Raw genomic sequence first — 13,863 nt, forward strand, 5'->3', positions numbered from 1 at the left:
GGGCTTTTGGGAAGAACACACAGAAGTGAAGTGCCCTTGTCATCCCATCGCATAAGGGGTACCTGACATCCACATGGCATGTTAATCCTGATCACTTGGTTCAGGTGTTGTCTGCCAGGTTTCCTCACTGCAGTTTCAAATTTTCATCTTCATATTCTGTTTTGTTTGTTTGTTTTAGACAGTGTCTCCTCTGTCACCCAGGCTGGAGTGCAGTGGCGCAATCTTGGCTCACTGAAGCCTGGACTTCCCGGGCTCAGGTGATCCTCCCACCTTAGCCTCCCAAGTAGCTGAGACTACAGGGGGTCGGCACCATGCCCAGATAACATTTGTATTTTTTGTAGAAACGGGGTTTTGCCATGTTACCCAGGCTGGACTCAAACTCCTGGCCTCAAGTGATCTGCCCGCCTCAGCCTCCCAAAGTGCTGGGATTACAGGTGTGAGCCACTGCGCCCTGCCCATACTCTGTTCTTTAGGAGTAAGTTACTAAGTCCATTCCAGCCCACAGTCAAGAAAAGGAGGATTAAATTCCACCTCCTGGAGGGGGAGTATCTACATACATTATTTAGAATTCTTTATCAGGAGGATCTGTCTCTTATCTCCTATTTATTGATTCAATCAAATCATTTATTTATATTGATATGGACTCCTGTATTTTTATTTCCTACTCTAGGTTATAATCTAATGCTATATTATTTCATTGCTCCCATTGTTCCAGCCTTGGCCATTGGTGGCTCTTTCTGCTCGGGTCCTGCTCTCCTCACTGTGCCTGTGTATTTTGCTTTTGGAGCACTTCCGTAGTTGTGAACACCATATGATGTTCCAGGCTCATCTCATATTTTTCCAGCCCCAGCCCTAGTATCAAGCCAGGTATCCAAGATACCTGCTTCTTTTGGTTGGTGAATTGTATTTAGAAACCAAGATCTGAGTGAGGGCGTGTTCATTGCTATTGGAGGTGTCATTGCTTCTCGGCTCTCTCAGTGGACAGGCTCAGGAAATACACATGTATATTGACTCATATTTATAAATGTCTACTCTCACCTCTTTATCTGTCTATTCTCTATCATCTATCTATCTGCCATCTACCATCTGTCTACCAACCTACCTATCTACCAATTAAACTAAACCTGAGTTCATGCTGATGTCTCCAAAATAAATCCAATACCCTAGGCTTCATGCTAGCATTCCCCCCTTACTTCTTTATAATGCTTTCAGAATTTTTTTTCTTTTTTTGAGGCAGAGCCTCACTCTATCACCCAGGCTGGAGTGCAGTTGCACAATCTTAGCTCACTGCAGCTTCAACCTCCCCAGGCTCAAGTGATCCTCCCACCTTAGCCTCCCAAGTAGCTGGGACTACATGCTTATGCCACCACACCCAGCTTATTTTTATATTTTCTGTAGAGATGGGATTCCACATGTTGCCCAAGCTGGCCTCAAACTCCTGGGGCCAAGCAATCCACCCACCTCAGCCTCCCAAAGTGCTGGGATTACAGGCGTGAGCCACTGTGCCCAGTCTACTTTCAGAATTTTTAACCCATAGCCTGTGAGAAACAAATTTATAAACTAGAGTACAGTGCTTAATATAGTTCTTTAGCCTTACAGTTTCTGGTTAAAATACAAGCTTTCAAAATTACTTAGGTCACCTCCTTTTCCCTCAGCCCCTTTAGTGAGGTTATATCACACATTTAGAATAAGGTTAGATTCATTTATCACAGTCTGTTTTCCATATTAGGTCTTAAATATGCTGTTTGATTATTTTTTAATCGGCATGCAATAAAGTTCGTGCAGTATGAAAAAATAAAGTATGAAATTGACAATTGTGTAGATCACCATATATCGACTATCCCAGTACCATAGGTAAAGTTCCATCACTGTGAAAGTCACTGGTATGGTTTGGCTCTGTGTCCCCATCCAAATCTCACCTTGAATTGTATTACCATAATTCCCATGTGTTGTGGGAGGGACCTGGTGGGAGATAATTTGAATCACAGGGGTGGTTTCCCCTATACTGTTCTCGTGATAGTGAATAAGTCTCATGAGATCTGATGGTTTTATCAGGGGTTTCTGCTTTTGCATCTTCCTTATTTTTTCTTGCTGCTGCCATGTAAGAAGTGCCTTGCGCCTCCTGCCATGATTCTCAGGCCTCCGCAGCCATGTGGATCTGTAAGTCCAATTAAACCTCTTTTTCTTCCCGGTCTCGGGTATGTCTTTATCAGCAGTGTGAAAATGGACTAATACAGTCACCCTATGTGTCCCTGTGCAATTAACTGCTCCCCTCCCCCAAGTCCCTGGCAACCATTGATGTGTCTTCTGTCCTTGTAGTTTTGCCTTTTCTAAAATGTCATATGAATGGAATTACACATGTAGACTTTGGGGTTTGGCTTCTTGTTCTTGTTCTTCTTTTTTTTTGAGATGGAGTCTCACTCTGTTGCGAGGCTGGAGTGCAGTGGTGCAATCTTGGCTCACTGCAACCTCTGCCTCTTGGGTTCAAGCGATTCTGCTGCCTCAGCCTCCTGAGTAGCTGGGACTACAGGTGCGTGCCGCCACGTCTAGCTAATTTTTGTACTTTTAGTAGAGGCGGGGCTTCACCATGTTGGCCAGGATGGTCTGGATCTCCTGACCTCGTGATCCACCTGCCTCAGCCTCCCAAAGTGCTGGGATTACAGGCATGAGCCACCATGCCCGGCCTTGGGTTTGGCTTCTTTCACTTAGCAAAATGAGTCTAAGATTAATCCATGTTGTCGTGTGTATCAGTAGCTCATTCCTTTTGGTAATTATGAATAGAACTACAAGGCTGGGCATGGTGGCTCACACCTGTAATCCCAGCACTTTGGGAGGCTGAGATGGGAGGGTTGCTTGAGCGAAGGTGTTTGAGACCAGCCTGGGCAACATAGCAAGACCTTATCTCTACAATAGAAGTTAAAAACTAGCCAGGCATGGTGTCACATACTTGAGGTGCCAGCTACTCTACTCAGGAGGTTGAAGCGGAGGATGGCTTGAGCCCAGGAGGTCGAGGCTGCATTGAGCTGTGATCGTACCATTGCACACCAGCCTGGGTGACAGAGTAAGACCTCGTCACTAAAAAATAGAAAAAAAAAATGAGTAGAGTTCCTAGAAACATTTCCATACAGGTTTTTGTTTGTTCGAACATAAGTTTTCTATTCACTTTGGTAAATACCTATGAGTGGGTCATTGGCATCTCTGGGTTATAGGGGAAGTATCTGTTTAACTGGAGGAGACAGTGCCAAATGGTTTTCCAAAGTGGCTACACCATTTTGCATTCCCCACCAGCAACCAGTGAGTTTCTGTCCTCTGCATCCTTGTCAGCATTTGATGGTGTCACTTTATTTAATTTGATTTATTTTACAGTAGAGTCTATTTTCTTTTTGAGGGCAGTCTTGTTTTGGTGAGAATATTAGGTATTAACATTCAGCTAGCTAACAGAAGTTAGCTGAGGGTTTTTACTGTAAGCCAAAGTAGACATCATCCTTACCACTTCAATCAAAATGCTGTTGACAGAAGAAAGTTCATTTTGAAAATTACTCTAATCTAAGGGTCTTTCATTTCTAGAGAAGATGGTAGAAGAGGAAATTGAGAAATAAAGGGAAATATGATGTTCTTGCTATGGATTTTTTCCTTCTACACTGGAATTTTCTGACTTAGAATAAAATTCCCCTTTAAAAGCAGGTATGGGGCTGGGCACGGTGGCTTGTGCCTGTAATCCCAGCACTTTGGGAGGCCAAGGCAGGTGAATCACTTGAGGCCAGGAGTTCGAGACTAGCCTGGGCAACATGGCGAAACTCTGTCTCTTCTAAAAATACAAAAATTAGCCGGACGTGGTGGCACACGCCTGTAGTCTCAGCTACTCGGGAAGCTGAGGCATGAGAATTGCTTGAACCTGGGAGGCGGAGGTTGCAGTGAGCCAAGATGGTGCCACTGCACTCCAGCTTGGGCAATAGAGTGAGACTCTGTCTCAAAAAAAAAAAAAAAAAAAAAAAAAGCAGCTATGATTGCCTGTGGTCAAGGCTTTTGAGGGCCCAGAACCCTCATTTGGTTCTGGCATCTGAAGAGGGTTTATATTGCACCCCAGTGGGTGAAAGACCAGGCCCCCAAGGGCCCACTGTACAGAACACCCAGAGGTGGTCCAGGGCCTCTGTGCTGTTATCTTGGCCAGGAATTGTTGGAGCCTGAATCACGTGCACACACGGGAGCTTTAACAGCACAGGGAACCTACTGAAAGGTCCAATGATGTGGCTGCATCCTTTGAGCCTGTGAGCTCCATGAGAGCAGGCTCCTTGTTTCCCTGCTGTAGACTCAGAGCCTAGGACACCCTGCAACACTCAATACTGCTCAAATGTTTGACTGAATGGTACAACTGAACCAGGGCCTGCAAAGACATCACAACCATTACTTCTTGTTTGAGTCTGTTTGGGCTGCCAAGACAAAATACACAGACTGGGTGGCTTGAATAACAGAAATGTGTTTCTCACAGTGCTGGAGGCTGGGAGTTCAAGATCGAGGTGTAAGCACTCAAAATCAAGGTTTCTCTGACCCTCTCTCCTTGGCTTGCGGACAGCTGACTTCTCACCCTTTCCCCACTTGGTCCTTTCTCTGCTTTCTCTGTGCACGCCCATCCCTGGCATCCCTTCCTCTTCCTATAAGGACACCATTCCTATTGGATTGGGGCTCCACCCTTAGGACCTCATTTATCCTTATTTACCTCCTTAAAGACCCCATGTCCAGACACAGTGACATTAGGGGTTGGGGCTTCAGCACACGAGTTTTGGAGGGACACAGTTCAGTCCACTGTACCTATCCTGACCCACAGGTCCCTCCCTCTCCCTTGCCTTGCAGACCCACTTACTCTTCTGTCTCCACAGACTCCCTTTCTCTGTGACCATGGCTTTACCTCACTTGCCCTTTCAAGAGTTCACGCAACAGAAGAGGAATGTGCTGAGCGCACAGACCAGGAGCCCCGCGGTATTGCCTGCAGACCCAATTGGCTTGGCCTGGTGCCCAGGCGTCCTCTGGGTCATCCCCTCGTGGGTCTGCCACAGCCCACACCACTTCTGTGCCCTCCCCCAGCCTGTGTGGCTCGCCTACAGGCTGGCCTGGACCCTGTGGACATTCGTGAATGGCACTCCCAAACCAGAGCCTGTGAGTCCTGAATTCCCCGAAGAACCTGCCTTGCACAGTTGGGCTCAGTTGGAGGCGGCTGCCCACTCACTGGAGAAGTTCAGTCTGAGAAGAGGCCAAGGATAGGTTCTCTAAGAAGGAGGCTGGGACTTTAGAGGAATTGACTGCAGGAGAGACAACAGGCACCCCTGGCCGGCATCACACAGGACATTCCAGGCCTCTCTGTGTCTCTCTTCGTGTCTCTCTTCATCTCTCTCTGCTTCTCTGTCTCTGACTCTGTCTGCCTCTCTGCCACTGTCTCTGTCTCATCTCTTCATGATACTCTGCCTCTGTCTGTCTCTCTGCCACTGTCTCTGTCTTTCCCCGTCTCTCTGTCTCTGCCTCTGTCTCCCTGTCTGTCTCTGCCTCTGTCTCTCTGCTGCTCTGTCTCTCTCTCACCCAGGCAGGTTTTAATTCAATAAAGAAAGCATCTGTCCTTCACATAGTTCTTATTCAGTAACCACTACACACACACCCCTAACACAACACTGCTACACATACCACTGTCATACACACAATGTACACAAACACAACTGTATAACTCACATTCACCACAACCTCACTACTACACCCACTAAGCACACACACACAACCCTTCTAGACACACCCAGTGTGACATGCACACCCCCTACACACACCTCTCCACACACATACACAACCATCTCACACACACCTCTCCACGAACGTACATACATGCACACAGCCATCTCACACACACCTCTCCACACACCTACATACACACACACAACCATCTCACACAAACCTCTCCACGCACCTACATATACGCACACAACCATCTCACACACACCTCTCCACACACCTACATACACACACAACCATCTCACACCTCTCCACACACCTACATACATGCACACAACTATCTCACACACACCTCTCCACAAACCCTCCTTTGCCTTCACTATTCACACACCTCCACACTGCACATCCTGTTCCACACAGACCCACAGACACATGCACACAGGCTTCCCCACCTTCCTAAAATGCAGAGGACAGTGCTCTCTGACTCCAGGCCTATGTCCACAGCCCACTTTTGACAGTCCATCCTACCCATCCAAATTTCACTTCTCACCCCCCTACTCAGATCCCTCTCTGTGGAGATTGTAAACTCCTGGTTGCTTGGTACTCAGCTCCTGGCACTCAGGAGGAGCCCTCTATGCTTGTGTTGAACTGAATGAATTCTCTCCCTTCTTTGCCCCAATCAAATGTTTCATTTCCTTCAATCCTCAGCTTAGATTCATATCCCCAGTCAAGCCACTGCACAGTAGCTCCCTTATGAGACTTTGTTTCAGGAGGTGTTCATCTATATTGTACCGTATTCCTTCTTGTTTATGTACCAGGGTATCAAAATTGGAACTTTTTCTCCTCCAAAACAAAGGGTTGATTCAGGAATGGCAAGGAATTGCCATTCAGGCACACGTGCTCAGGCGGATCACAGGCCACACGTGCTCTGGCGGATCACAGGCCACACGTGCTCTGGCGGATCACAGGACACACGTGCTCTGGCGGATCTCACAGGACACACGTGCTCTGGCGGATCTCACAGGACACACGTGCTCTGGCGGATCACAGGACACACGTGCTCTGGCGGATCTCACAGGACACACGTGCTCTGGCGGATCACAGGACACACGTGCTCTGGCGGATCACAGGACACACGTGCTCTGGCGGATCTCACAGGACACACGTGCTCTGGCGGATCTCACAGGACACACGTGCTCTGGCGGATCACACAGGACACACGTGCTCTGGCGGATCTCACAGGACACACGTGCTCTGGCGGATCTCACAGGACACACGTGCTCTGGCGGATCACAGGACACACGTGCTCTGGCGGATCACAGGACACACGTGCTCTGGCGGATCTCACAGGACACACGTGCTCTGGCGGATCACAGGACACACGTGCTCTGGCGGATCTCACAGGACACACGTGCTCTGGCGGATCTCACAGGACACACGTGCTCTGGCGGATCTCACAGGACACACGTGCTCTGGCGGATCACAGGACACACGTGCTCTGGCGGATCACACAGGACACACGTGCTCTGGCAGATCTCACAGGCACAGCCTCAGAATGGAAACTTTGACCTAAGCCAGTAGACATCAGGCACCAGTTAGTGTGACACTTGTTGGAGGAGTTTTGAAATCAATCAGTCAACAACTCATTTCCTGACTTTTGAAGTCCCTTACCTATTTCAAGAATATTGCAGTGGAGAAACTGCAGATGGAAGAGGAAGGGAATTACAGGATTTCTTTGGAGAGAGAGCTACTGCAGCCTGTGGCTGCTGTTCTCTCAGGGGGTGAGAGAGGAACTCCTTCCTTCACCCAAACCCAGAGAATGGGACGACCCAGTGGTGAAATCCAGAGACAGGTTGGCATGCCTTTTCTGCAGAAAGCATGAAAGTTCAAGGGGCCTATGGCAGGGGTGGTAGGGGGCGTGAAGGATGTGGGTGGGATGTAACTCCATTCTCACTGATAAGGGGCAAGGACATGGGAGAGAGGCTGACCTGGGGTCCCTTCCAGAAGACAAAGGGGAGTCCAGTGGTGAGAACCAGTGGTGGAGGGGCCTGCCTGAGACCTAGGGCCAGAAGACAGCCCACTGGAGAAGCACAAGCTAAGCTGCAGCTGGAGGGGGTTTACCAGAGGTCTTTAAAGAGCCCCTGAAGCCAAGCCTAATAGCTCACGCATGTACTTCTAGCTCCTTGGGAGGCCAATACAGGAGGATCACTTGAGGCCAGGAGCTCAAGACCAGCTTGGGCAACATAGTGAGACCCCATCTCCAAAAAAAAAAAAAAAAAAAAAAAAAGGGAAATCAAGGTGTCAGCCGGGCAAAGAAAAAAACAGAAAACAAGAGCCCCTGAAAGTGCCCAATGGGAGGCAGGTTGGGGCTGGAGGCTATGGAGCTAACTCAAGACAAAACCAGGCTTTGGTGAGGAAGTCCCAAGCGAGAACTTACTTCCCTGCCCAGCGTCCCACCTCACCCCCAACTTGCAAAGAGGAGATGAGTGTGGAAGAAAGACGCCAACCATCCCACACCCCCACAGGGTGGCTGTGTCAGGCAGGCCTTGAGGGGGCAGGCAGGTGCAATTAGTTCTCCTTAGAGCAAAGCCCGAAGTGTGGCCGCCTCCACTGGGCTAAACCCTCCATGGGTCTGCACCAGGATGGTGTTTGTGACATCAAGTCATCACAGGACAATTTCCTAGGACTGAGCAGAAAAGGCTGGCGTCCACATCTCCCTTCAGTCCACTGCCAGGAGAAAACTTCCCACTCTGAGTAGATGTGAAAGGGATAGCAGGTGACCGAAAAGTTCATTTCCACTAAATTCCGTGGTTTATTTATTTATTTAGAGACAGAGTCTTGCTCTGTCGCCCAGGCTGGAGTGCAGTGGCAAGTTCTCAGCTCACTACAACCTCCGCCTCCCAGGTTCAAATGATTCTCCTGCCCCAGCCTCTCGCATAGCTAGGATTATAGGCATGTGCCACCACACCTATAATTTTGTATTTTTAGTAGAGATGAGGTTTCACCATGTTGGCCAAGCTTGTCTTGAATTCCTGATGCCAGGTGATGCACCTGCCAAAGTGCCTCCCAAAGTGCTGGGATTACAGGAGTGAGCCACTGCGCCTCATGGCATCCTTGTTCAGCACACTAGTTACACTCGTGTATCTAGTACATTGTTCTCTAGTTTTTATATCTGGTGTTCCAAATGTGACCCTCAAAATTTAAATACCTGCCACAGTATCTAATGCTGCCTGGGGAGTTCCCATGGGCAGGGGCAAGCATAGCATTTGGCAGACCAGGAGGGAGCAGGGCCGGCAGGGCCGGCAGCGCTGATCCACCATGGCAGGAACGTGTGCCAGTTGTTTCAGCAGTCTGGGCTTCGCTTTCCTCATTGCAGTGAAGGTTTTAGAAAACTGTTAAAAACACTGTGGACACTAACATTTTTAGTCAAAAAAACTCAGCCAGGTGCAGTGGCTCACGCCTGTAATCCCAGCACTTTGGGAAGCCGAGGAGGGCAGATCACTTGAGGTCAGGAGTTCGAGACCAGCCTGGCAAACATGGTGAAACCCCATCTCTGCTAAAAATACAAAATTAGCTGGGCGTGGTGGCAGGCGCCTATAATACCAGCTACTCTACTCAGGAGGCTGAGGCAGGAGAATCACTGGAACCCAGGAGGCGGAGGTTGCAATGAGCAGAGATCACACCATTGCACTCCAGACTGGGTGACAGAGCGACACTCTGTCTCAAAAAAATGAACAAACAAAAAACCTACCCACACAAAAAAACCCGTGGACGGATGCTGACCTCAGTATGTACTGAGCATCTGAGCTGTGTTCATCCTTCCCAGAGGGAGGGGTTTGCCCAGGAATTCCCAGAAACGAAACAGCTGTTTCCGGAGAAGCAGCATCAATATCTTATTTTAGTGGCATCTGTTGGACACTCAGTAAAGCACTGTCTGTGTTGTTTTCAAAGTTTATTTTATTATTTATTACATTTTTAAGCACAGATTTCAGGCTTGGGAGACGTACAAAGATGACACAGACATCCCTAATTATTAAGAACTTGGCCAGTATAAAAAGGTGGTAGACACCAAGGAATAAACTAGGGTTGTATTTCATAGAGGTGTCTATGGATGGACTTGTGGGGGGTTAAGGGGAATTTGGTGGACCCCTAAAATAATATGTAAATGTTTGGTTATGTGAATAGATTAATTTTGGGCGGAAGAAGGTCCATAACTTTTCCTAGATTTCTCGATTTAGCAGCGACTCAAATAAAAATCACTGGTATAAAATGAAGTAATGAGGGCTGGGCACGGTGGCTCACGCCTGTAATCCCAGCACTTTGGGAGGCTGAGGCGGGCGGATCATGAGGTCAAGAGATTAAGACCATCCTGGCCAACATGATGAAAGCCCATCTCTACTAAAAATACAAAAATTAGCTGGGCGTGGCGGTGCGCACCTGTAGTCCCAGCTACTCAGGAGGCTGAGGCAGGAGAATCGCTTGAACCCAGGAAGCAGAGGTTGTAGTGAGCCAATTGCACTCCAGCCTGGCGACAGAGTGAAACTCTGTCTCAAAAAAATAAAAAGAAAAAAGGAAGTAATGAGGCCAGGTTCAGTGGCTCACACTCTCACCTGTAATCCCAGAACTTTGGGAGGCTGAGGCAGGAGGATCATTTGAAGCCAGGAGTTTGAGATTAGCCTGGGCAACATTCCAAAGCCCTGTCTCTACAAAAAATACACAAATCAGCCAGAAGCAGTGGTGCACACCTGCAGTGCCAGCTTCTTGGGAGGTTGAGGTGGGAGGACACTTGAGCCAGGGAGGTCTAGGCTGCCTGGACCCATGTTCACAGCACTGCACTCCACCCTGGGTGATAGGGTGAGATTCTGTCTCAAAAAAAAAAAAAAAAAAAGTAACTGAACTGTAGAGCTAGAGCTAGTGGTTGAGTACATCAAATGTAGCAGCTGTTCTTCTAGACAAGAACATGAGCTCAGTGGTTTATTTCATTATCATGAATATCAGTGGAAACATAAATAATAAAGGATATCTCAGGATATACCAGAATGCCTCTTGCTTGTTCACTTTGAGGGAACATTTCCCTTCTTATCTTTACCTCACGTCTTGTCTCTCTTGGGACTATTCCCTGCCCAATTATGTAACCAAAGCAGTACCTACCTCATTCACAAGTGTAATAGTTTATTTGAGTAGCTCTTGCTAAAAGATATTAGAAAGCATGATGCAAACTGAGGCTTCAAAGTATTTATACGCTGGGGGTTGCCCAACTGGAATGCTCCTTATTGGAGCCCAGCCACCATGTTGAGAGGAAACCTAAGCTAGTCCCATGGAGAGGCTCTTGGACCACATGGAGAGCGGTCCGGTTGTTCCAGCCATCCCGTGTAATAATCCACGTTGACCCATGTCAACAGCCGGAATGAACTGCCAGCCATGTGAGTGAGGCCATTTTGCATAGTTCAGACAAGCCAGTACTCCAGGTGATGCCACAATAAGTGATTTTGTTGTTTTAATACACTAACTTTTGGGGTGTGTGTATTCTTTTTCAGCAATAGATTACCGAAACAATAAGTAATTGATTTTTTCTTTCTTTTTTTTTTTTTAAAGAGATGGGGGTCTCGCTATGTTGACCAGGCTGGTCTCAAACTCCTGTCCTCAAGTGATCCTCCCATCACAGCCTTCCAAAGTGCTGGGATTACAGGCATGAGCCATCATGCCTGGCCCAATAAGTAATTGATTTTCTATTGCTGTCTTCTAGTCCCTCTTCTACTGACTACAGCTACTTTTGCCATTTTTTCCGTTGTGTGATAGATGCTTTCAGCACTGTATTCAGTAAATAGCCTGTAGCATCCTTTTTAAAAAAAAAGCCCTTCCAAGTAAAGGCATATTTCAAACTGTATTAAGAATATTTTCTGGCTGGGCATGGTGGCTCATGCCTGTAATCCCAGCACTTTTGGGAGACCAAGGTGGGCAGATCCCTTGAGCTCAGGAGTTTGAGACCAGCCTGGTCAACATGGCAAAACCTCGTCTCTACAAAAAATACAAAAATTAGCCGGGCGTAATGGCGCTCACCTATGGTCCCAGCTACTCGGAAAGCTGCAGTGGAAGGATTGCTTGAGCCTGGGAGGTGAGGCGGCAGTGAGCCATGTTGTACCACTGCACCCCAGGGTGACAAAGTGAGACCTTGTCTCAAGAAAAAAAAAAAAAAAAAAAGGAACAGAACGTGAATATTTTCCATCATAATGACAGTCACTGCTGGAGTTTGTAAATGTACTCAAGAAAGATTTTCTTCATTAAATACATATGTCAAATAAATGGAGATTTGTGACCATTCCGTCAACTGTCATTTCTGTATCAGCTCAACAGTGTGGTACAGGTTATTAGCTGGTGCTTGGAAACAGGCACATTACAGGAAGTGAACTAGCATCATCACTGCAGTCCTCAACACAGAATTCCCATTCTGCTTTATCATGGTGCAAAGGACAAATCCGCATGTGAAAGGAAGGAAAAGTAAAATTTTAACAAAAACGAGTTGATGAGTTGCCCCTTGTTGTTAAAATTTGTTTAATTTTAATTAATTTTTATAGAAATAGCCAATAACTGCTTCATTCAACAGATATTCACTGAGTGCCTACCACGGGCCAGGAATATTCTTAAGTGCAAGATATAGCCATATCCTGAAAAAAAAGTGACATTGCTGTTACTGAGATGTGGAAGACAGCAGGAAGAGCAGATTTTTGAGAGAAATCCAGGAGTTTGGTTGGAAAGGAGTTATTTTGGTAATGTCTATTAGACATCTACGCAGAGATGCCAAGTGGGCTGAGGACACATATCTGAGAGTCCAAATTGGCTGATTTGCTTAACCTCTAAGCTTCAATAAAATGGTCAATATAATTCCTTTAAGCATTAAAAAATGTAATTTTAAACAGGAACTATTTTGAGTATTATTTCTTTAATTGTCTGGTGGTTAAAACCATTTTATCTTTTGTGACTTTTTAAAAAATTTTACTTTTTTTTACTTTTTGGGTTTAAGCGATCCTCCCGTCTCAGCTTCCCAAAGTGCTGAGATGACAGGTGTGAGCCATCATGCCTGGCTATCTTCCATGACTTTTAAAATCTGAGTATTGGCCAGGCACAGTGGCTCACACCTGTAATCCCAGCATTTTGGGAGGCCAAGGCGGATGGATTACTTGAGGTCAGGAATTTGAGACCAGCCTGGCCAAAATGGGGAAACCCCATCTTTACTAAAAATAGAAAAATTAGCCAGGCGTGGTGGCAGGCACCTGTAATCCCAGCTACTTTGGAGGCTGAGGCAGAAGACTTGCTTGAACCAGGGAGGCAGAGGTTGCAGTGAGCCAAGATTGCACCACTGTACTCCCACTTGGGCGACAGAGTGTGACTCTGTCTGAAAAAAAAAAATCGAGTATTGGAAATCTTTTTTAAGACAGAGTCTTGCTCTGTCACCCAGGCAGACAATAACAAAAACACAGTATACAGTTGTGGAAACACAGCTCACTGCAGCCTTGACCTCCTGGGCTCAAGCAATCTTCCTGCCTCAGGCTCCTGTGTAGCTGGGACCACAGGCACACGTCACCATGTCTGGCTAATTTTTTTTTATTTTGTGTAGACACAGTATCTCTCCTTGTTGCCTAGGCTGGTCTTGAACTCCTGGGCTCAAGCAATACTCCCACCTTGGCTTCCCAAAGTGCTGAGATTACAGGCATGAGCCACCACACCCAGCCTGAAGATCTTATCTGAAGGTCAGGCTGATCACAATGACATCTTCTAAGAAATCTAGTGGAAATAACTGTATTATCATATATGTCATATATGAATGAAGACTGGTTTTAAAAATTTATGGTTTTATCTGGCTAAATTTTAGTCCTATTGCTAGGAGTAAGTTAATTTTTAAAAAGTATAAATCTAAGAAAAAAAGAAACAAAGTATAAATCTAATGCATCCCAGTAAGGATTTTAATTTTAAAGAAATCTAAGAGAGTATAACTGTTTTAGAAGTGATTTGGGAATAGAGTTGCTGATATTGGCCAAAGACCCAGTCAGACTGTGCAAGCATGTCAATAAACATCTATGTCCAAGCAATGGCGAAAGTTCACAAACACAGGACAACAAGTAGACTCCCATCATGATAAGAGTTATGTCAAAG

The 13,863-nt window shown here is 46.6% G+C and overlaps 1 annotated feature.

The window, feature by feature from the left end:
- Positions 6,279–7,478: an enhancer, noted in NCBI's record as "CDK7 strongly-dependent group 2 enhancer chr20:25582716-25583915 (GRCh37/hg19 assembly coordinates)". NCBI's record gives its function as "activates an origin of replication core promoter dependent on BRD2, BRD4, P300/CBP, MED14 and CDK7 cofactors, with strong dependence on CDK7, by STARR-seq in HCT116 cells {active_cell/tissue: HCT116}" and the evidence as "EXISTENCE:reporter gene assay evidence [ECO:0000049][PMID:35650434]".

This window comes from Homo sapiens, chromosome 20, assembly GCF_000001405.40.
Source record: "Homo sapiens chromosome 20, GRCh38.p14 Primary Assembly".
Classification (NCBI taxonomy): Eukaryota; Metazoa; Chordata; class Mammalia; order Primates; family Hominidae; genus Homo; species Homo sapiens.